The following is a 23,588-nucleotide window of genomic DNA, read 5'->3' as shown; positions in this document are numbered from 1 at the left end:
TCCTCCTACCCACTCTGATCCCAGAGGAGAGTGCTTCTGCTGTAACCTCTAAGGCACAAGTGGGTCCCAAAGTCCTTAAATATGGAGGGATGTGGGGAAGCAGTGGTGAAGATGCAGGCCAAAGGTCAGCAGGCAACACTGGTCTTTGTTGTAGGTAACCTTCATCTAGAGATTCTTCTAGTTCTTTCCAGATTTATCTTCTAAAAACTAACTGGTATGGAAATATTACAGTCCTGTAATTCTTTCTTCTAGGTCATATTGAACATTCCAGATACCTATCATTACTCGATGCTGTTGATAACAGCAAGATGGCTTTGAACTCAGTAAGTGGTTAATTATTACCTTCCTGGCCTTTTCTTTGTTCCCTTGTCCCTTCTGTTATTCCCAACATTGTTTGGGGTCAGCAATTGCAAGGGCTATTTGTAGGGAACGCCGGGCCACGCTGATGCTGTTCAAGGCACCCTCTAGAAAGAGTGAGTCAGGTGCGCAGCCACACAGCTGCCCAGGTGAGTCGCAAGAGCCATGGCTGTTGGGTACACGTGGGTGATATGCATTCTCACCTTGACCTCATCCCTTCCTGCTTTGCAGGGCAGGGGGCAGGGACAAGGAGTGGGGACAGATGAGGCAGGATGGCGATAACAGGGGTATGTTCCAGGGAAGAGACCCACGTGGGATCCCATCGATGCCCAACTGAAGGACTAGGAAAAGTCATAACTGCATGAGGCATGGGCGGGCCTTCCCTCTCCCTGGAGCCCACTCCCTTTGGAGACAAATGTGGCTAATCTCTGCTCCCCATTGTAACTGGCCCGTTTGCCTTATACCTAAAATAAGTGCATTTAGTAAAGAGTTTTAAACACTTCCTAGATTCTATATCTGGAAAATAGACCTTGTTTTCCCCTTTATTTGTTACTGATATTCATTTTTTACTGGGTCTGTGTTTAATTTCAAGTCCACTGCTCAGGAATTTTCAGGGACAAACCTGCTTGCTAGTGGATGGCAAGTTCTTAGATGGCTGAGATTGCAGCCTCTGACTCCCTCATTTAGATGAGAGATTACCTTGTGTTTTCCCTCTGTGTGCTGCTCTGGTTCAGAGCTGTAATCTTCGGACTTTTGAAGGACAGCATTAGTGAGTTATTAAGTGGAGGTGAACTCTGCGGGCCTTGTTTGGCTCATTCCATTGTAATCAACTTCCCTGGAGGCCTCATTTAAAGTTCTAAGAGCTATGCTGCCTCTGCTCAGAACACCTGTCCATTGAGTACAAACTTGCTGTCATTCTCTGAGGTCAATAAGAGACAAGGGGCAGGCTGGGCGTGGTGGCTCATGCCTGTCATCCAGCCCTTTGGGAGGCCGAGGCAGGCAGATCACCTGAGGTTGGGAGTTCGAGACCAGCCTGACAAATATGGAGAAACCCCGTCTCTACTAAAAATACAAAAATTAGCCGGGTGTGGTGGTGCATGCCTGTAATCCCAGCTACTCGGGCGGCTGAGGCAGACGAATCACTTGAACCTGGGAGGCAGAGGTTGCGGTGAGCCAAGATCGCACCACTGCACTCCAGCCTGGGCAACGAGAGGGAAACACTGTCTCAAAAAAAAAAAAAAAAAAAAAAAAAAAAGGAGAGAGAGACAAGAGGCAGAAATTAATGAATAGGAAAAAGTTTTGCATGGGGGCCCTTAGATACAGATAAGAGGAAAACGTGGCCTCCCAGAGTGGCCCAGCCAACAGGTAACCGGGGAGAGCTGAAAGAAGGGGAAGATGTGGGCTGGTGGGGCCCAGAGTGGCCTGTTTGGGGCGAGTCTTGACAGGGTAGGTCTCGGGAAGGCAATTTTTAAGTAGGCTGAGGAAGGGGAGGTGGGCATTCTAAGAAGATAGGCACCAGCTGAAGGATGGAGCTGAGAATAAAATGCTACTTCTAGGCAGTTCCTTTCACATTTATGTATGGCCACACTCTGACCCAGAAATTTCATTTAAAGGGATTTAGCTACACCTTTCTACCCTCTGCACAAAAATGCATGTAATGTGTCAGAATGTTTATTGCAGCAGAGCTGCTAACAGCCCATGTTGTGAACCACTCAAATTTCCATTAATAGCAGATGGTGAGTGAATGACGATACATTCCTTATATGAGAGAAGAGGATGTAGAAGAGGTATTTGCAGGATAACACAGAGACTATGCTCCTTTAGGAACATTTCTTCACTCAGTTTTTTTCTCTGCAAAATGTTTGTATTAATTCATACCTGTGCCAGTCTCGCTGGCAGCGGGAGGGATTATGGTGAGCGCTCAAGGAGATTATGAGTACAGGAGCCTGGCGGCAGCTGAGTTCTCCAATGTTAGCTATTATTCTTCTCATTATAATTATGATATTGCTAGTTTACAGTTTTGTATATCAATATTCAAGGAAAAGACTGGAGGAACTAAAAGTACAGGATTTTGGCTTAATGGATTCTAACTCCAAACCTCTACACAACTTTTTAAAATTATTACTATATTTTACTAAATCCCAATGTCTGCCACTTTTTTTTTTTTTTAATTTTAAAGAATACATAGCCCATTGGGCAAACTTGGGTTTGCATGCTTGGCTTTTCAGCAGATGCAGAAGCCCTGGGGTGGGTTTGCCCTGGCTTGTGTGGTTCTCGAGTTTGAGTCTGTACGTCTTGAGTGGGTCAGGGGCCCCAGAGCTTTGCTGCCATTGATTTCTCCCCAACAGCAGACAAAGTCTCACAATGACCTCAATTTTCCCTCTTTCTTTCTTTTGAAGGACCCATTTTTCATGGTACTTGTCTTGACTGTTTTCATAGTGGTTTTTTTTTTTTTTTTGAGACGGGAGTTTCGCTCTTGTCGCCCAGGCTGGAGTGTAGTGACGTGATCTCCATTCACTGCAACTTCCGCCTCCCGGGTTCAAGCAATTCTCCCGCCTCGGCCTCCCAAGCAGCTGGAACTATAGGCGTGCACCACCATATCCGGCTAATTTTTTGTATTTTTAGTACAGATGGGGTTTCACCATGTTGGCCAGGCTGGTCTCAAACTCCTGACCTCAGGTGATCCACCTGCTTTAGCCACCCAAAGTGCTGGGATTACAGGAGTGACCCACTGCGCCCAGCCAAATCTGTATTTTTGTATGTAGAGGGAAATAATTTTCTCAACTGTAATCGTGAATAAATATTGTATTAAATTGTCATGAAGGAACTCCTGTTTAATAAATAGACATGTAAGAAAAAAAGAATGAATAGTAAAACCAAACCAAAACAAAAAACTTTGGTAATTGAAAGTTCTGGTTAGTTTTTATTCTAAATAAGTTCAATGTTTGACATAGTTGTAGACACCTAGGGAGAATCTGTAGTACCTCTTCTTTTCTATTACTTTTTTTTTTTTTTTTGAGACATAGTCTTGCTCTGTCGCCAGGCTGGAGTACAGTGGTGAGATCTCAGCTCACTGCAATCTCTGCCTCCCAGGTTCAAGCCATTCTCCTGCCTCAGCCTCCCGAGTACCTGGGATTATAGGCGCCCACCATCATACCCAGCTAATTTTTGTATTTTTAGTAGAGACAGGGATCCACCATGTTGGCCACGATGGTCTCGATCTCCTGACCTCATGATCCGCCCGCCTCGGCCTCCCAAAGTGCTGGGATTACAGGCATGAGCCACCGCACCCAGCCTTGTAGTACCTTTTTAATATCTTGTCACTTTCTTATTAATCTCTAACTGTACAAGTTGTATAGACAGGATGCATATTTCACAAAATAAAATAAAAACATTATCAATTTAAAAGATCATTGGTATAGCTGTGGTATGATGTGATAGTTTGTATGTAACCCTTTAGTGCAAATAAGAGTTTTATATTATTCATCTTCTTTTCAACTGTTTAGGGGTCACCACCAGCTATTGGACCTTACTATGAAAACCATGGATACCAACCGGAAAACCCCTATCCCGCACAGCCCACTGTGGTCCCCACTGTCTACGAGGTGCATCCGGCTCAGTACTACCCGTCCCCCGTGCCCCAGTACGCCCCGAGGGTCCTGACGCAGGCTTCCAACCCCGTCGTCTGCACGCAGCCCAAATCCCCATCCGGGACAGTGTGCACCTCAAGTAGGATTCTCTTTGTGTTTATTTCCTGTAATAAACCCGGGGTCCCGGGTCTACCTCCCCAGTGGGCTCTCTGCTCCCAACACCACTGTCGCCACCTCTCCTGGTCTGACCCTTCTCCTCCGTCTTCCGGAGCCAGCCTGTCTTCATGCCTTTCCACTCTCTTCCTGCTGGGTCAAAGCTGTCGCTGCCAGGCCTAGCCTCTTGCCCAGGGCCTGCAGATACCTCCCTCTTCCGTTAACTCTCCTGTACAGCTTTGCCTGTTCTACTCAGCGTAGGCTTCGAGATCACCTTCTCTGGGTTTCTTGGCTGTGTGGTTTATTGGTGGCTGCTCTTGAATAAATGGTAAGCTTCCAAGAGCAGAAATCAACTATCTTACCTTTGTCATACAGTCCCCTGGATATGACAGGTCATGTTTAAGATGCTCTCTGTTACTTTGTGTTTAGTAGATGACCTGGCTGGTGCGGTTGTCACACAGAAGTATCTGAGCTGTCTCATTGGGCTTCAGGGTCCTGCGGGTGGCCGGAGCAGGCCAGAGCGAGCGTGGGAGGACTGGAGGTTAAATTTTATTTGCTGTCACTTCAGTCCCTCCTCTTCCTCACCCTACCATTCATCTCCTTTCTTTGCCATTTCGTTTGGTCTCATGTCTTTCCAGTCCGCCCCTCTTGCACTGCCTCCCAGCTGTTAATTCAGGCTAGTTTCAGTGCTAAGAATTGTCCAGGTGGAACCCGCACAGCAGTGGCTACGCCAAAGATCTTTTACATTGATCTTTTAATTGATAGTGCTTTTATTTTATTTTGTGAAATGTGCATCCTGTCTCTACAACTTGTACAGTTAGAGATTCGTCAGAATGTGAATTTCCATGTGTCCACATCACATAATCAGTCATCAACGTGATTAATGCCAGTGCTCTGTGAAGCCCTGTCTGTCCCCACCTCTCCCCCACTCAGGACAAGTGCTGCCGCTCCTGCGTTTCTACCCCTCCTCTCACCCCCTCACCCTTCACAAATGGCTCTTCCACCCTGTTCCTCTCCAGCCACCTCCTGTCTCTGAGTTTTCTACCCCTTCATGAGCCTTAATTCCTTTCTCTCCCTTCTCTCATTCTCTCTTTCCCTTCTTCCGATGCTCCCCACCAAGCAGATACTTGTGTTTGCACTGATGTTCTTCTGGGGGTGGTTGGGTAGGTCAAGGCCAGTGGTTCTCAGTCAGGACAATTTGGACCCCCAGAGACAATTGGCGGTGTCTGGAGACAGTGTGGGTGGTTACAAGTGGGGAGGGGGTGCTGCTCCTAGGTAGGCACCGGGGATGCTGCTCAACCTCCCGCAAGGCACAAGACAGCCCCCCGACAGCAAAGAATCCTCCAGGTAAAATATCGCTTAGTGTGGAGGTTGGGAACTCCTGATCTTTGTCCACCGTGGGGATGGAAGGAAGCCAGGGTGAAGGGGATAAGGAACTGTCTGTGTGAGCTACCCCCCTAAGAAATGGCAGTGAAGGCCCTCTCCTGAAGTCAGCATCTCCAGACGGTGGTGTTCCCACCAGTGATGGCTAAACCCAGGAAGGCAGACGAACCCCTGGCCCACATGATGGACACATTTCCACGTTTCCTGGGAAAGACTAGATGATGACAGAGTTGGACAGGGATATATCAGTCCCTTATCAGTTGCTTTTATAAGGGAAGAATATGAACCTACATGTATGATTTTTGCATTATAAAATTTATAAACTCAGAAATAATTTAGTAATTTAATTGAACTTACCCTGGTACTATTTTTAAGAAAACACTGTTGGCATCTAATATATAGAAATGTATACATTTTGAAAGTGTAATGTTTGGCTTTGAAACTCTTCTCCCAGTTATTGAGTAGCACCAATTCAGAAGCACCCATCAGGAGTATAAGGAATTTTTCTAGACTTAATGTATTTATTTGCTTTAGCAACAGCCGTAGAAGGTTGATGATTGAGTAGGAGCGAACACACAGCTTAAACCTTAGGCTTTGGAGAATCGAAGGTCCATAGTCCTCCAAATGTGCGTGTGAAACAAGCAGCTAAACGTGAGAAACCATGAGGCTGAGTTGACAACCTTAAGTTGGTCATGATTGAGGGAAATGGATAGTGGGTTTTGTGTGCGTGGGTTTTTTTTGTTGTTTGTTTGTTTGTTTGTTTTTTGAGACAAAGTCTCGCTCTGTCACCCAGGCTGGAGTGCAGTGGCACGATCTCAGCTCACTGCAACCTCTGCCTCTCAGGTTCAAGCGATTCTCCTGCCTCAGCCTCCTGAGTAGCTAGGACTACAGGTGCACTACTGCTTCTGGCTAATTTTTGTATTTTTAGTAGAGACGGGGTTTTGCCATGCTGGCCAGGCTGGTCTCGAACTCCTGACATCAGGTGATCCTCCTGCCTTGGCCTCCCAAAGTGCTGAGATCCACTCCCAAAGTGCATGGGTGGTATGAGCCACTGTGCCGGGCCAGTGAGTTGTAATTAAACTGTGCAACAGCAGCCGTGACAAGCCAAGACCCAGTGGTGTCTGTACTGACCACGCGCTGACTACAGATGCCTGTCCAGCAAAGTAAACTTGAGGGCTTCCCGCTTTACACACTCTCCTGGTGAGAACTGTACAGATTGGCACATGCTCAGTGTGAGGTTCAGGATACCTAACTGAATAGCCCTCATCTCAGCAGACCAGTTATTTTATCTTGGATAAAATGGCACTCGGGAAGCCATAGACGGAGGAAAGTGTCCTTGGTAATGGGCCAGAGAGGGCATCTGGAATTTCTCTCATGAACTACCTTGGCCCCAGCTTGCCTCCATCATATATAATCATTGCAGCCGAGTTATGAGAACATCGTGTGCCTGGGCATGGCCCTCAGACCAGTGGTGCTGGCCTCATCTGTGAGCCTGTTAGAAATTCAGATTCAGGTCGGGTGCAGTGGCTCACACCTGTAATCCCAGCACTTTGAGAGGCTGAGGCGAGTGGATCACTTGGGCCCAGGAGTTCGAGACCAGCCTGGGAAACATGGTGAAACCTCATCTACCAAAAATGGGCCAGGCATGGTGGTGCACATCTGTGGTCCCAGCTACTTGAGAGGTTGAAGTGGAAAGATGGCTTGAGCTCAGGAGGTGGAGGCTGCAGTGAGCCATGATTGTGCCACTGCATTCCAGCCCGGGCAACAAGCAAGACCCTGTCTCAAAAAAAAAAAAAAAAAAAAAAAATGCAATGCAGATTCATGCCCGACCCCCAACTGAAACAGAATCTCTGGTGATGGGAACCACCACATTCCCCAGGTAATTCTTAAGCCTGTAACAGTTTGAGAGTGATGGTAGAATTATCAGAATGTTGTCACAAAGAGAGAGGTATGGCATCGAGCCCTCAGCAGATGGGTCAGCTCTGAGCTTATCGCCCTGGCAGACCTCCGGAGGCACAGGTGTGGCCAGGTGGGGAGTTCCAGGCTGCCACACCACCTCTCCAGCCTGGGAGGGTCTGTTCAAATGCCTTCTCCTCCCCTCTCCTCCACCTCTGCACCTTTCTTCAGGGAAAGCTCCTGGGAGCTCCTGGACCTGGGGCTGCTGGGCATCACTGGGGTGATGGGGATGGATGCCCTCCCTCCTGGCCCATGAGCTGGCTGAGCCCAGCGTCTGACTCTGCCATGCCTCTCTGGCACCTGTAGCTGTCTTCTGAACTCTGTGTGACTTTTGGCTTACCCTCTGACCAATAATGCTATGTCTCACTAGAGAAAAATCAGTGACCTTTTCCAAATTCGTTTTTTTTCTGAAATGTGCCTTTCCTCTGAGTTTGGTATTTCTGCACTTGGACCAAAAGGCCTGCACTGGCGCTGTCCAGCAGGACTTAGGGACACCATGGGAAGGTTCTACAGCTGCACTGTCTGACATGGTAGCCACCAGCCACATATGATGACTGAGCACTTGAATTTACATCATTTTACTTAATTCCATGGGACATTAATTAAATAGCCACATGTAGCTTTGGTGGATGTCCGAATGGGACAGTAGCATCCATTCGCTAAATAGCCTTGGGTAAGACAATTTATTCTGCTTTGAGTACCACTAACAGAGTGATGATAGTTTTTAGGACAGTATTATTATTTTGCTTATGCTTGTAATTACCAAGATGAGGTCTTAGTTCTTTTTTTTTTTTTACATTAATCATCTGCCTATTTTAAGACCCTCTTTTAGCATACTATCTTTTTTTTTTTTTTTGACAGAGTTTTTGCTCTGTCGCCCAGGCTGGAGTGCAGTGGTGTGATCTCGGCTCACTGCAACCTCTGCCTCCTGGGTTCAAGTGATTCTCCTGCCTCAGCCTCCCAAGTAGCTAGGATTACAGGCACCTGCCACCACGCCCAGCTAATTTTTGTATTTTTAGTAGAGACGAGGTTTCACCATGTTGGCCAGGCTGGTCTTGAACTCTTGACCTCAAGTGATCCACCCACCTCAGCCTCTCAAAGTGTTAGGATTACCTGCATGAGCCACTGCGCCCAGCGAAGCATACCATACTTTTTAAAAGAGCCTAACCTCGGTGTACTTTGCTGAAGATCACAGCTTCCTCCTGTTGGTCTCCAAATTGCATAAGGTTTAGTGTTATGGAAGAAGTAGGATCGTCCATGATATTTCTTAAAATTAAAAGTCACATTTTTAAGTGTATATGAAATAATTATTTCTTAATGTGGTGTACTATAAAAATAATAGATAACATTTGAGAGCATGACTTCTAAACAACTCTGGTCTGAACGTTGCACTCTCCTCCTTCTTCCAGAGACTAAGAAAGCACTGTGCATCACCTTGACCCTGGGGACCTTCCTCGTGGGAGCTGCGCTGGCCGCTGGCCTACTCTGGAAGTTCAGTAAGTGCAGGGAGCCTCGATCCCACCATGTGCTCCTGCAGTCCCCAGTGCTCTGAGCCAGACCCTGCTCTCTGGGCTATTGAGACCTCTGGAGGCCCTCCGTGAGGTTCCTCTCTTACATAACGAGGCTGTCTCTCTTCCCTTCTCTTGTTTAGCTATGAGATTGACACATCATGGGGAAAGCATTTAGAATGTACCCAGTGCTTTGGGGTGCTTGGTGCCACCCAGCACTGTGAGCACAGGTTCTTCTACCTTGGGGCCACACCCAGTTACCTGTATCTCACTGCACAGCAGTGGCTGTTGGGGACCAGGCCCACCCCTCCATGTCCCACCTCCTGCAACTGCAGCCTGAGCCTTCCCATCAGCCTGGGGTGGTGCAGACCCATGTGCCATTGTGGATCCTTCAAGTTACCTGTGTGGCAGAGAGGACGTGTGAGTGCCGTCCAAACCCAAACACTGAGAGGGTCCTTCCCATTGCCCCCACGGAAGTAAGGTGCCCCAGTGCTAATTCCACTTATACTTGCTGGTGGCAAGGACACTTCTCCTCCTTATTAAAGTGGGGGATTGGCTGGGTGAGGTGGCTCACGCCTGTTATCCCAGCACTTTAAGAGGCCAAGGCAGGTGGACCACCTGAGGTCAGGAGTTTGAGACCACAAGCCTGGCCAACATGTTGAAACTCCATCTCTACTAAAAATACAAAAATTAGTCAGGCGTGGTGGCGTGCACCTGTAATCCCAGCTACTTAGGAGGCTGGGGCAGGAGGATCACTTGAACCCAGGAGTTGGAGGTTGCAGTGAGCCAAGATTGTGCCCCTGCACTCCAGCCTGGGTGACAGAATGAGACTTCATCTCAAAAACAAAACAAAACAAAACACAGTGGGGCCAGGAGTTGGAGGCTGCAGCGAGCTACAGTAATGCCACGGTGTTCCTCACTCCATGAGGCTCATTGCGTTTCTCAGCCTGAAGGGCACCTCTCTTCTGTTTTCTCTGCAAGTGGGCAGCAAGTGCTCCAACTCTGGGATAGAGTGCGACTCCTCAGGTACCTGCATCAACCCCTCTAACTGGTGTGATGGCGTGTCACACTGCCCCGGCGGGGAGGACGAGAATCGGTGTGGTGAGTCAGCCTTGACCTTGGGAAGGGACTCCTCTGCTCACCTTGGAGACAGCAGCCGGGTCCAGGGGCCTTTGGGTGACTGGGCCTGGCGTGCGTCCAGTACGCTGACACATGATGTCATTGAATCCCTGCTCCAGGCTGAGCCCTGGGGCTCAGAGAGGTTGTGTTTCCGGCCCAACCTCACCCAGCAGGTGGGAGATGACAGGGCCACCGAGGACTGTGTCATTGGAACCACACGTGCTCTGAACTGCCACAGGAAGTCAGTTAAGATGAGCAAACTGTTTATAAAGTTGGAGATGCAGGCTAGGAACGGTGGCTCATGCCTGTAATCCCAGCACTTTGGGAGGCCGAGGCAGATGGATCACCTGAGGTCAGGAGTTTGAGACCAGCCTGACCAATATGGTGAAACCTTATCTCCACTAAAAATACAAAAATTAGCCAAGCGCGGTGGCGGGTGCCTGTAATTCCAGCTATTCAGGAGGCTGAGGCAGGAGAATCACTTGAACCTGGGAGGCGGAGGTTGCAGTGAGCTGAGATCACGCCACTGCATTCCAGCCTGGGAGACAGAGCTGGCTCAAAAAATAAATTAATTAATTAAAAACAAAATTGGAGATGCACTATGTTATTTTCAAAACAAGCTGCCTTTAAAGATCTATCTGTTGTCACAGGGTGGGCTCATCTGTTTCATTTTATTTTCTGTGGTTTATCTATTTATTCATTTTAATGAACTAGGAAGCATTGCTCCTATTTATGGCATACCACATGATGTTTGGATACGTGTATGCCTGTGGCATGGCTAAGTCAAGCTAGAACATGGGCCTTACCTCATATACGTGTCTTATTAAGAACACATAAAACCTACTCTTGTAGTGATTTTCAAATATGCAACATATAGTTTATTAACTGCAGTCACTATGATGTACAATAGATTGCTCGAACTTATTCCTCCTGTCTAACTAAGATTTTGTGACCTCTGACCAACATCTCCCCAGTGTTGTCACCCCCCGCCCCCAGCCTCTGATAGCTGCCTTTCTACTCTCTGCTTCTGTGAGTTTGATGTTTATACATTCCACATGTAAGTGGCCTCATGCAGTGTTTCTGTCTCTGTGTCTGGCTTGTTCACTTAGCGTAATGTCCTCCAGCTTCATCTATGTTGTTGGAAATGACAGGATTTCCTTCTTTCTTGTGGCTGAATAGTATTGCCTTGTGCATATACACCACATTTTCTTTATCCCTTCATTCACTGATGGACTCTTAGGTTGATGTCATGTCTTGGCTGTTGTGAAAAATGCCGCAGTGAGCGTGGGCGTGCAGGTCCCTCTTCAACACACGGATTTCCTTTCCTTTGGATATAAACCCAGCAGTGAGATTGCTGGATCACATGGCAGTTCTGTTTCTCACCTTTTGAGGAAACTCCATACTGTTTTCCATAATGGCTGTAGCAACTTCCACTCCCACCCCCACGGTGCAAAGTCTCCATTTCTCTTCTACAACCTCACCAACTCCTGTTATTTTCCATCTTTCTGATAGTAGCCATTTGAAGAGGTATGAGATGATACCTCATTGTGGTTTTCATTTGCATTTTTATTTGTATTTTTCATGAATTTTTGAGGGTGATTTCAAGGGTAGTTAGTGACTCGAACAGGGAAACGATCCTGAGTATGAGGGTTGTGCTAATCATCCCCCTCCTGCCAGCTGCGTACGGAATGGGGCTCTGCAGATGGCAGGGAGCTGGCTCGTTTCTCTTTAAGAGCTGCCTTTTACTTTTCTTCCTCTTCCTTTAAAACTTATTTCCTGGCCGGACGCAGTGGCTCATGCCTGTAATCCCAGCACTTTGGGAGGCCGAGGTGGGCGGATCACGAGGTCAGGAATTCCAGACCAGCCTGGCCAACATGGTGAAACCCCGTCTCTACTAAAAATACAAAAATTAGCCAGACGTGGTGGTGCGGGCCTATAGTCCCAGCTACTCGGGAGGCTGAGGCAGGAGAATCACTTGAACCTGGGAGGAGGGGGTTGCAGTGAGCCGAGATTGCGCCACTGCACTCCAGCCTGGGCGACAGAGCCAGACTCCATCTCAAAAAACAAAAAAAAGTTATTTCCCAAGCACAGCCATGTATTCCAGGCTTGTGGATCAGCGTTGGTGGTGGTGTGTGCTCTCATATCTTAGTTCCAGCTAAGCACACTCTGACATGTTTACACTAGAACCATTTGTTTTTTCTAGAAATAGAAATTTCAGAATTGTAGAGTCAGAGGACTTACCAGAAATCTCTTAGGTAGTTCTCCTCCCCTCCCTCAAGTGCAGTCCTAACCTCCTGGAGTTTTCTGTAGAAACCACAAGCCTCAGAGCTGGCCGAGAATTCTAGCCAAAGATTTTTCCATGCCAAAGTAATCCCCCCTCTCCTAAGGGCCATCCTTGGTGGGGACTGGTTTCCTGTTAAGCCCTCGCTGTCAGTCCTGGCTGTGGAATTTCCTGGTGAGGAGCACTGGCCCGTGGAGCTCGGCCCTCGTGCCGGCCTTGAGCAGGCCCAAGTGTTCCGTGTTCTTGATACCTTTCCTCCAGCACAGTCTTGCTTCCCAGAAAAAGGTTTGCACTTGAAAATGATGCATTTGCTGATTAAACATAGTTCTTTTGCTTTATTTGGTTTCTAAAATAAAGTGGGAGTTTTTGAGATTGAGTAGCGTGAGGTTAAGATAGCACGTGGAATGGCTTTTTCTTTTCTTTCTATTTTTTTTTTTTTTTTCCTGGAGACAGGGTTTCACTCTGTTGCCCAGGCTGGAGTGCAGAGGCATGACCATGGCTCACTGCAACTTCGATGTCCTGGGGTTAAGCGATCCCCCAGCCTCAGCCCCCCAAGTGGCTGGGACTACAGGTGCTCGCCACCACACCTGGCTAATTTTTGTATTTTTTGTAGAAAATGGGTTTCATCAATGTTGTCCAGACTGGTCTCGAACTCCTGACCTCAAGCAATTCTCCTGCCTCAGCCTCCCAGACTGCTGGGATTACAGGCGTGAACTACCACGCCTGGCCTGGAATGGCTTTTGATGTTCTCCTATGTGCACATGTGGGTGAATAAACACCAACAAAGTCCTTATGTTACCTGAAGAGTTGCTCTCTTCTTAATATTTAAGTCGTATTTATTTAAATACTTTAATAGTTGTACACTATTAAAGTATTATTAGGTCAAAATCAAGGAAGTACAAAAGGGTATGCTGTGAAAAATCTCTTCTTCCTTGCTCTGCTTACTTACCTACCCCGCATCCCCCCATACACCCCAGACACACACACACACACACACACACACACACACACACGCATCACTCCCATACATGCCCACCTGTTTACCAGCCAATCACATTTCTTGGGGCAACTCATCTGAGTTGCTTCTCTTTCCAGAGAGTTTTTGCATAAAGAAGCACAGGTATTTCTGCGTTACCATGACCCTATTTCCCAGTGGTTCCTAGCCAGTTGACTCTCCTGCACTGGATACCATCCTGGACAGCATTCCTTAGGGAAATGAGCCCCCTGTTTTTTCCCACCATGGCACAGTTGGTCCTTTGCATGGACGCACCATTATTGCCCCTGTCTCTTCTTGGTGGACCTTAAGGTTTTCTCCATCCTTTTGCTGTAACACACACTGCTCCAAGTGTGTGAGCATATCAGTAGGAAACGCTTCCAGGAGTAGAACTGCTAGGTCAGAGGGCGTGTGGATCTGTAACCTGACAGACCTAGACCGGCTTCAGTTTGGTTTTATCCAGTTTCCATATTGATTATTCATATAAAAGGAAACAGACAAACATAACGCTGTGCATGTATTCTCTCTTAGACCAGAACAGGCATAGGGTGCACTTTTAATTTGTCCATTTCGTAGAGTAGAAATTGTTTTTGCTGAAATGAACACCTTAGGATGCTGAAGAATATGACCCGTCCCATGGAAAACATTCAAAAATGTGTGTAGCGCTTTCTTCCCAAGGGTGTGTGTGCGCATATTTTAACACTAATTCACTTTCTACTTCCGTTGCTATCCTTTCTGTGAGTCTTTCTCAGAATCTCAGAAAAGAAACTAAATTGTTCACTCTAGTTATCAATGCTGTACTCTATACCTGGAATTTGCTAAAAGGGCAGATTTTAAGTATTCTCACCACAGAAAAGAGAAAAGAAAATGGTAATTATGTGACGTGGTGGACATGTTAACTAGCTTTATTATGGTGAGCATTTCACAGCGGATATCCAGTCATCACGCTGTACACATTAAACATGTACAATTGGGTTTTTTTGAGACAAGGTCTCCTTCTGTCACCCAGTCTGGAGTGCAGTGGCTCAGTCATGGCTCATTGCAGCCTCGACCTCCTGGGCTCAATCCATCCTTCCCCCTCAGCCTCCTGAAAAGCTGGGGCCACAGGCATGTACCATCATGCCAGGCTAATGCATATATATTTATATTTTTTGGTGGAGATGGGGTTGGTCTCGAACTCTGGGCTCAAGTGATCCTCCCGCCTTGCCCTTCCAAAGTGCTGAGATTACAGGCATGAACCACAGCACCAGGCCTACATGTAAAATTTTTATTTGTCAACTATACTTTGACAAAGCTGAGAAAAAAAATCCTAATATTTAAAAAAAAAAAAAAAAGGACTAGCTTGAGACCTTTTCCAGCTCTCTGGCTTATCAGCTGCCGTCTCTTCCGGGTGCAGATAGCTGGAAGGGAAAGAAAATCCCTAAAATTACCCACAAGCCAAGAATGAAGTGTCTCCCTTTGAGCCACAGTGGCAGTTTTGTTTTTAATCATAGAAGTGTATTTTGAGCCGGGTGTGCTGGCTCACGCCTGTAATCCCCGCACTTTGGGAGGCCGAGGTGGGGGGCGGAGGGGGTGGGGATCGCCTGAGGTCAGGAGTTCGAGACCAGCCTGACCAACATGGAGAAACCCCGTCTCTACTAAAAATACAAAATTAGCCGGCGTGGTGGTGCATGCCTGTAATCCCAGCTACTCATGAGGCTGAGTCAGGAGAATCTCTTGAACCCAGGAGGTGGAGGTTGCGGTGAGCTGAGATCATGCCATTGCACTCCAGCCTGGGAACAAGAAAAAAAAAGAAGAAGAAGAAGAAGTGTATTCATTTCAGTTACTTTTAAAAAAGTGAACAGACTTTATATTTTAGAGCGGTTTTAGGTTTACAGAAAATGAAACAGACAGGGCAGCGAGCTCCTTGTACTCCTCCCCAGCACACAGTTGCCCTGTTATGAACATCCCACATCAGTGCTGTGCGTTCATTAACACCGATGAACCTGATGCATACATTATGATGAACTGAAGTCCTGGACTTCACCCTTTCTCTTGTACAGTTCTGTGGGATTTGACAAATGCATAATGCTGTACAGCCACAATGATAGTATCGTCCAGAGTAGTTCTCCTGCCTTAAAACCTCTTTTGCTGCACCTGTTTCTCTCTCCCCACTCACCCCAGCTATCTGATCTTCTTAGTGCCTCCGAAGTTTTGGTCTTTTCAGGATGTTGTAGCGTTGGAATCATGGAGTATGTAGCCTTCACCACATACACCTTCCTTCACTTTGTTGGCTTCCTTTACTTAGTAATATGCATTCAAGTTTCCTCCATGCCTTTTCATGGCTTGATAGCTCATTTCTTTTTAGCACCAAATAATATTCCGTTGTCCAGATGTAGCACAATGTTTATCCATTCATGTAACCTGTGACCGACTCACAGATAGGATGTGGAATCACTCACCACAGAGGCATTAGACAATAATCAGACCCAAGTCATTTCATGGGGGAACAAGCCCACAGGTACCAGACTGTCCAGTGAGTCAGGGCCACTCGTAGGAAGTAAGAAGAGAGGCTAGAGCATAGCCAGGTCCTCACTTTATACTTTAAGCCCATGTGTATTTCTCCCAAACCACACAGCATTGTTTCCATGCTTTCAGCTTTGCATGAATAACGTGATACTTGAACGCATCATTTATCACTTGCTCTCTTTCCCACAGCGCTGTTTTCAAGCTTCTTCCTGTTCATGATGCTCTGCTTAACCCTTAAGCTGCATGGGATTCTGTTCTGTGAATACGCCCACCCCATGTATTATCCTGCCCAGCAAAAAGTCCCCAAAACTCTGGATGGTGGTTACCTCTAGGGAGGGAGAGAAGAGATTGGGAATAGGGAGCGACTTCAACGGTGTTTGTAATGTTTTGTTTCTTTAAATAAAAGAGCTGAGATCATTTCAGCAGAATGTTGATTTAGAGTCTCCTGGACAATTTGTTGCTCAAAGTGCTCTCTTAAAGAGCACTTTAAAAAAAAAAACCTTTTATCTTATTATTTATTTATTTATTTATTGAGACGGAGTTTTGCTCTGTCACCCAGGCTGGAGTGGAGTGGTGTGATCTCAGCTCACTGCAACCTTTACCTCCTGGGTTCAAGCAATTCCCCTGCCTCAGCCTCCCAAGTAGGTGGGATTACAGATGCGTGCCACCACACTTGGCTAATTTTTGCATTTTAGTAGAGATCGGTTTCTCCATGTTGGCCAGGCTGATCTCAAACGCCTGACCTCAGGTGATCTGCCCGCCTTGGCCTCCCAAAGTGCTGGTATTACAGGCGTGAGCTACCATGCCTGGCTTATCTTATATATTTTTAAAAACAGCTTATTGAGATCTAATTTATGTACCATAAAATTCAAGTATATAATTCAGTGCTTTTATATATAAAACATATATATGAAATAGCTTATTGAGATATAATTTTTTATATAAAACAGCTTATTGATATGTAATGTATGTACCATAAAATTTAAATATATAATTCACTGGCTTTTATATATTCACGAATATGTGCAACTATCACCACAGTCAATTTTAGCATATTTTCATCAGCTCATAAAGAAACCCCAAGCCCTTGAACTATCACCCCATATCCCTCCTCCCAGCCCGTCCCTCCTACTCATAAGCAACCACTAATCTACTTAGTGTCTATAGATTTCCTACTCTAGGCATTCCATGTGAGCGGGATCATGCAATACGTGGGCTCACACAATATAAGTGGCATTCCATGTGAGTCGGCTCATGCAGTATGTCCGGCTCCTTTCACTGAGCATAAGGTCTTCAGCACTCATCCAGGTTGCAGCCTGTGTCTGAATTTCATTCCCTCTTCTGGCTGAATCGTATTCCATTGTGTATCTTGGACATATCCTATTCTGCTCACCCAGCCGTTGGTGGGCGTTTGGAGTGTTTTCGCCTTTCAGCTGTTTTAAGAGGGTTGCAGTGAACATTTGTACAAGTTTTGGACCCAATGCCTGTTTTCAATTCTCTTGTGTAGAGAGCACTTTTTAGCAGAAAAAGAATAGATTTGTGGCCTCCCTTTGTGTGCGGTCAGTGCCTTGAGAAGAGTGAACTGTGCTGCCACCTCCGGAGCCGTGGAGAGCGCGGGGCTTGGGTAGCAGCTAGGACGATACAAGTTGGGACAAGGCCAGGTGCAATGGCTCACGCCTGTAATTCCAACACTTTGGGAGACCGAGGCAGGGGGATCACCTGAGGTCAGGAGTTCAAGACCAGCCTGGCCAACATGGTGAAACCCCATCTCTAATAAAACAGAAAAATTAACTGGACGGGGTGGTGGACGCCTGTAATCCCAGCTACTCGGGAGGCTGAGGCAGGAGAATCACTTGAACCTGGGAGGCGGAGGCTGCAGTGAGTGGAGATCAGACCACTGCACTTCAGCCTAGGTGACAGAGCGAGACTCCGTCTCAAAAAAAAGAAAAAAAAAGAAAGAAACTCATGGATAATCCTCCCTCTCGTGCAGTTCGCCTCTACGGACCAAACTTCATCCTTCAGGTGTACTCATCTCAGAGGAAGTCCTGGCACCCTGTGTGCCAAGACGACTGGAACGAGAACTACGGGCGGGCGGCCTGCAGGGACATGGGCTATAAGTGAGTATGGGGCAGCACCCGCCGAGTGACAGTAACAGACAGCAGAAACACGAGAAGACCCTCTCTCTGCCTCCCTGTGAAAGCACCGGCACATGAGTGCTGGGGACAATTGTCACCTTCCAAAAGCTGAGCCCTATAACCAGCAGGTGGAATTTGTCCTGCTAGGGCTGTGCCCAGCACACAGACCTTGGCTCACTGCCACCTTGCCCTGCCTCCTCCTTGGCCTCTATAGACTCCTGGTTGCTCGGGAGTGCCCAGTGCTGTGGTCATCTGGTCAGAGGGGTAGGCTGAGGGCGTTAGGTGCCTCTTTTTCCAAGGTGCCTCTCAGCCAGGGTCCATTCACCTCCCTGGGTAGAGGTTGGACCAGAACAGCTGGCGAGGAGGGTTGGGCTGGGGAGAGCAGCAGAGACAAATCCTGTGCCAGTTTCACTTCATTCGGGAGCCATGGAAGCCTTTTGAGCTGGGGAGAGAATCAATCAATCAGACTGATACTTAAAAAATGTCATTCCTGCTCGTAGCTCTGAGGGAAGGTGGGAAGGCTTAACAGGGTGTGTGTCGCCTGACAGTGATTCCTAACGGGGGTGGGGCGGTGGTTACCATTTACCAGCACTGCCTGGGGAGATGCGGCAGCCCTCAGGCATCGGGGGAGAGGGTGGTAGGATGCTACTGCCACTTTGTTTTCCATGGGAGGGTCCCCAGGTGATTTCTATGCAACTTTAGGGTATTCAATATGCCAGTTTTCAGAATGAATTACCACTCGGTGAGAAAGTTGGCATCTTAGCTAGTCACTGTGACATCCCTAAACAGCAGGGGTGAATTACACAGCAAAGCCCCCCCATCACAGTCCAGGAACCTGGTGGAATTGATAACTGGGGCCATGTTAACATCTGTACCTTTTATTAGATTAAATGTGTGTATGATTATACAATCCTATGTCCTTCTCATAGTTTCTTGATCCTAACCTGGATAAGAAACACGACCAATGAAGGAATTTTGTCTGACACTTTAGGGTTATTGAATCGAAAAATCGTTACAATATTCTAGCACTTGGTTAGAACGTGTGATTTTTTTTCCTAAATGCTAAGGTTTTTCCCTCTTATTCTGAATGTCGTATGAGCGGTATTATGACATAGTATAGGATTTGTGTTTGCTTATGCCTTAACCATTATCACAAATAAGGTTTTCTTTTTTAGGAATAATTTTTACTCTAGCCAAGGAATAGTGGATGACAGCGGATCCACCAGCTTTATGAAACTGAACACAAGTGCCGGCAATGTCGATATCTATAAAAAACTGTACCACAGGTATGCAGCAATTTCTTCTTGAAAAATTTTGGAATGAAATCAACTAGGAGACACCATGGGGAATCGTTGTCCTGAGTCTGATTTCTCTGAGCTGCAATACTCGGTCTGGATGGGTTTTGCATTGGGAGGAGATTAGAGTCTGACCAGGCCTGGTTACTCTAAGCAGCCCTTGGTTTATTCATAGGAAGTGGCTGAGGTTTCTCTGCTATTTCATTTTCAGCCTCTACCGTCTGCCCTTGTTGGTAGCGGCTCACACTTGCAACATCGACATTCAACTCTATTTAGTTTTCTTTCCTCTTCAGACATTTAGAGGTGTACCTATTTTGTCAGGGCGTGGTTCTAGGAATCCAAGATAATGTCTCAGTGTCCCAGCCAGGGTGACCGGCTCATTCCAGTTTGCCAGGGACTTCACTGGCTTGAGCAAGGGAAGTCCTGCTCCATTCCAGGCAGCTGGGCTGGCTGGTCCCGTTAGCCCCAACCCCGGGACAGCAGTGCCAGAGGGTGCTCTGTGAGGGATGGGCAGCATTCTGGCGGCCTGGGAATGAGTTGTGGTGTTTCCAGGGGGTAGAAGTGGGTACAAGCCACAGGTCACATGATGAGTGGCTGACCTGGCTGGGAGGGCAGAAGAGGGGATGGACTTAGGCTCTTCCTTTTGCTTTGCACATATTTAGGATGTTTGCAGACTTGCTATGATTGTTGCTGTTATGTGTTTTCTGATGTGAAAGATACACAGTGTCCTTTGCCCATGAGCTCTCCTTGCCTCCCAGGTCCCCAGGGCTTATGCCTGGTGTCTAGGCATCACCTCCCTGCCTGCCAGGTGCCAGGTGCTGCATTTCGGGGGAGGATGAACTAATCACCCCGCGCCACCTTTCCTCTGAGTGGGAGCCTGGGGCAGGTTTGCATTCCTGGAGGCCGCTGGTGGAGGGGTCTGGGGGCCTGACTTCCACTGCAGCCTGCTGTCCTGGGGAATGTGGCAGGGCAAGCCCAGTGGGGAGGGCTGTGCACGGCCAGGTGCACCCATCAAAACAGCAGGGCTGCGGTTTGTCCCTGTGGAGAAGCTAAACACAGCTGCCTGGGCACTTTGTAAATGCTGAGTGGTTCTTTGTCTTTCTGGGTTACACACGGAATCAGGGAGCCAAGTCCAGCCGGGCAGGGACGGGGGGAGGGGAGGAGGTGCTGCCGTCCCTTGGCAAGAGCCTTGGGAACTCACAAGGAGGCTGGAGGGCTTGGAAGAAAGAAGAGAAGGCCATTGTCTGGTAGGCTCTATTCTATCTCGGTGGTGGTGGTGGGGGGAGGCGCACTTCTTTTCCTCTTTCTGTGCAGCAGTTGCCCTTTGATGCCTGAGTTCTTGGCTTGTTTTCTGTCGGGCTTCTGTGAATAACCACATGTGCCCTGGCGCTGTGACCACACAGGGCTATCCCTACCGACCTTAGGATTCTTAGGAAATGTCTTCTCTTAAAGGGGACATGTCTTCACTTGGCCGTGTCAGTGCCCCAGAGCCAGAGTCCACCTGGAATGCACCTGTAGTCACTGAGAACCCGGGGGGTGTGCCTTAGTAAGAAGGTGTCAGGAAGGACCTATTATTGTAGGGCCTGGGCTCCTGCAAGGTGGTTTGGGGGTGGTTGGAGGAAGCAGAGATTTGCTCTGGATTGGATGCTGTCAGGAAGCAGGGGTAATTCTGTGAGGCTGCTTTATTATTTTTTTTCTAGGAGGAGGTTGGAATGAGGCTAGGCTAAAGCTGTGATTGGTAAAGAAACGTCCGTCGCTCAAGTTAGCCAGGACAGGAGGAGACATCAGATCGTGATTTTGTGGTTGTGAGCACAAGGTTCCTGTTCTGTCTGTTCAGACATCATTTCGGAGGAGGCTCCTTGTGTCTTGCCCCATCTCAGGCATGGAGGGGCCTAGTCCGATATTGACGCTCAGTGAAATAATTCAGGTTCCGCAGAGCACACGGCCCAGCTATCAGGGCGGGCCAGCTCTGCATGCCAGGGGCCGCGTCTTCCCTTCTCAGCATAGCCTGGGAAATTCACTGCAGGACAAAATGCATCAGTTACTTCCTCTTCATCCATAACCTGGGATGTTTGACTCCCAAATGAGTAACTCTTACGTTTCTTCTAATCCTAGGGAAACTATTGGTTATATTGCTTTCAACACTACAAATTTAAAGCAGTTATAGGAGCCCAGAGGTTTCCAAATGGCTTCCTTAAAAATTAGAAGATGATTTTAAATTCCAAGAGGAAAAACAAAACTAGCATTATTGTATACTTACCCTCACAACCGTCCTAGGAGCTGGTACAATTTTAAGAGAGGTTAAGTAACTTGCCCAAGGTCACACTGTGGGGATGTGAGCCGCGTACCTTGGCTCAGTGTCTGGTCTTTGCCACTGTCCCTATATGGATTTACTTACCTTATTGGAGTTGTAACTAGCAGACCCTTCTATGTCTCAGAAGACAGGAGAGGGAACATCGGAAGAAATGACTGATTTCTAAGCATGTGAGAGGCAGGTGACTCCGCACTATCGTGACCAGAATTTCCCCTGTTCTTTTTGCAGTGATGCCTGTTCTTCAAAAGCAGTGGTTTCTTTACGCTGTATAGGTAAGTTCATCTGGAGTCCCCCTTTTGATACTTCTAACTAGGAAAAGCTCTCTACTTTCAGAACAGTACTCCCTGTGTCTCTGGGGGCGTGGGAGGGAAGAAGGTGGGGTCACGGGTTGGAATGTGCCCAGCGGCGTCTCGCTCTTTCCAAGGAGCTCCTGGTTTAGATTTCCATGGCCTGTAGACACCTTCAGCCTTGGGTCCAAGGGACACCCCCTGAGATCAGGCACGCTCAAGAAGCTGACAAAGCCCTACACTTTATGCCACCCATGAGCTGGAGGCCCGGCAGGTCTCTTTCTCCAGAAAGCAAAGGGGGGTGGCGTTAGTGAGCCCTGGCAGCCACCTAACGTGGACTTGGAGCATCTGCGGGGCTGTGGTCCAGCACCACCGTGTGGCCACCAGGTGCTCATCAGCCAGTGGGACCCGGGAGGAGGGACAAGACCAGAGAACAACAGTGCTCTTGCCTCTTCTCTCCTGAATTTTGGACGGTGGCTTAGACTTGGGTGTCCCCATCTCTGTGTTTAGAGTGCTTACAGTTTCCAAACTGTTTGCAAATGTGGAAGCCACCGTCCCTCTCCTCTGGGATGGCCCAGTGCTGTCGTGGGGCCGTGGTCCTGAGCTCAGCTTTTCATTTGAAGAGGTGGAAGGAGCTGACACCGTCCCATCCCGGCAGGGCTGGCTCAGGTCTTCTTTAGGTCCTGAGTGGGGGTCCAGCACAGCCCCAAGGGTGCGTGGCACCCGCCCTGCCCTCTGCCCATGCACTCATCTCCTGGTGGAGAAGACACTCACACACAGGAAGCAGGGAAGGCAGCAGACCTCACTCACCCCTCACCCCCTCACTCACCCCCTACTCACCCCCTCAACCTCTCATTCACCACCCACCCCCTCGCCCCCTCACTCACCCCCTCACTCCCTCAACCCTCACTCACCTCCTCACTCCCTCAACCCTCACTCACCTCCTCACCTCCTCACTCTCCCCCTCATCCCTCCCTCACCCCACCCCGTCACCTCCTCACTCACCTCCTCACCCCCTCACTCACCCTTCACCCCCTCACTCACCACCTCACCTCCTCACTCACCCCCTACTCAACCCCTCATTCACCCCTCACCCCCTCACTCACCCCTGCACCCCCTCACTCACCCCTTCATCCACTCACCCACCTGCTCACCTCCTCACTCAACCCCTCACCCCCTCACTAATCCCTCACTCCCTCACCCCCTCACGCCCTCACTCACACCTTCACCTCCTCACTCACCCCCTCACCCCCTCAACCCCTTACTTACCCCCTCACTCATCCCTTCACCCCTCACTCACCCCCTCTCTCACCCATTCACCCCCTCACTCATGCCTTCACCCCCTCACTCACCTCCTCACTCACACCTTCACCCCTCAGTCACCCCCTCACTCACCCCTTCACCCCCTCAATCATGCCTTCACTCCCTCACTCACCCCTTCACCCTCTGAATTACTCCCTCATCCCCTCACTCACCCCCTCACTCACCCCTTCACCCCCTCACCCACCACCTCACCCACCCCTCACCCACCCCCTCACCTCCTTACCCCTCACCCCCCTCACTCACCCCTCACCCCCTCACTCACCACCTCACCCACCCCTCACCCACCCCCTCACTCACTCCCTCATCCCCTCACTCACCCCCTCACCCCCTCACTCACCCCCTCACCCACCCCTCACCCACCCCCTCACCCCCTCACTCACCCCTT

General features: G+C 48.4%; 1 protein-coding gene across 3 annotated transcripts in view, besides 6 other annotated features; it reads left to right on the top strand.

Moving 5' to 3' along the window:
- Positions 1-13,174: part of a mitotic recombination region, noted in NCBI's record as "TMPRSS2 recombination sub-region, recombines with the ERG recombination sub-region. This represents the genomic range from 26 different TMPRSS2 genomic breakpoints.", that runs on past the window's edge. NCBI's record gives the evidence for it as "EXISTENCE:nucleotide sequencing assay evidence [ECO:0000219][PMID:23447416]".
- The window catches only part of TMPRSS2 (transmembrane serine protease 2), a 43,854-nt gene that overhangs the window by 9,717 nt on the left and 10,549 nt on the right, over positions 1-23,588 (top strand). For all 3 annotated transcript variants that reach the window (NM_005656.4, NM_001382720.1, NM_001135099.1), the window contains exons 2-8: positions 253-323; positions 3,864-4,086; positions 8,849-8,935; positions 9,929-10,048; positions 17,840-17,966; positions 19,160-19,270; positions 21,822-21,865. In NM_005656.4, coding sequence (NP_005647.3) covers positions 309-323; positions 3,864-4,086; positions 8,849-8,935; positions 9,929-10,048; positions 17,840-17,966; positions 19,160-19,270; positions 21,822-21,865 — 727 coding nt within the window. In that variant the 5' untranslated portion in view covers positions 253-308. The remainder of the gene's footprint in view (positions 1-252; positions 324-3,863; positions 4,087-8,848; positions 8,936-9,928; positions 10,049-17,839; positions 17,967-19,159; positions 19,271-21,821; positions 21,866-23,588) is intronic.
- Positions 260-261: a mitotic recombination region, noted in NCBI's record as "case 28 TMPRSS2 recombination region, recombines with the case 28 ERG recombination sub-region". NCBI's record gives the evidence for it as "EXISTENCE:nucleotide sequencing assay evidence [ECO:0000219][PMID:20601956]".
- Positions 2,474-2,475: a mitotic recombination region, noted in NCBI's record as "case 31 TMPRSS2 recombination sub-region, recombines with the case 31 ERG recombination sub-region". NCBI's record gives the evidence for it as "EXISTENCE:nucleotide sequencing assay evidence [ECO:0000219][PMID:19363497]".
- Positions 4,368-4,369: a mitotic recombination region, noted in NCBI's record as "case 16 TMPRSS2 recombination sub-region, recombines with the case 16 ERG recombination sub-region". NCBI's record gives the evidence for it as "EXISTENCE:nucleotide sequencing assay evidence [ECO:0000219][PMID:20601956, PMID:19363497]".
- Positions 17,714-18,214: an enhancer, noted in NCBI's record as "H3K4me1 hESC enhancer chr21:42852155-42852655 (GRCh37/hg19 assembly coordinates)". NCBI's record gives its function as "activates a minimal SCP1, AML or CMV promoter by ChIP-STARR-seq in naive H9 embryonic stem cells {active_cell/tissue: H9 hESC(naive)}" and the evidence as "EXISTENCE:reporter gene assay evidence [ECO:0000049][PMID:30033119]".
- Positions 18,215-18,715: an enhancer, noted in NCBI's record as "H3K4me1 hESC enhancer chr21:42851654-42852154 (GRCh37/hg19 assembly coordinates)". NCBI's record gives its function as "activates a minimal SCP1, AML or CMV promoter by ChIP-STARR-seq in naive H9 embryonic stem cells {active_cell/tissue: H9 hESC(naive)}" and the evidence as "EXISTENCE:reporter gene assay evidence [ECO:0000049][PMID:30033119]".

Source organism: Homo sapiens, chromosome 21 (assembly GCF_000001405.40).
Source record: "Homo sapiens chromosome 21, GRCh38.p14 Primary Assembly".
Taxonomy (NCBI): domain Eukaryota; kingdom Metazoa; phylum Chordata; class Mammalia; order Primates; family Hominidae; genus Homo; species Homo sapiens.
Note: the sequence above shows the minus strand (reverse complement) of the source record. Positions and strands in the feature narration are given on the sequence as shown.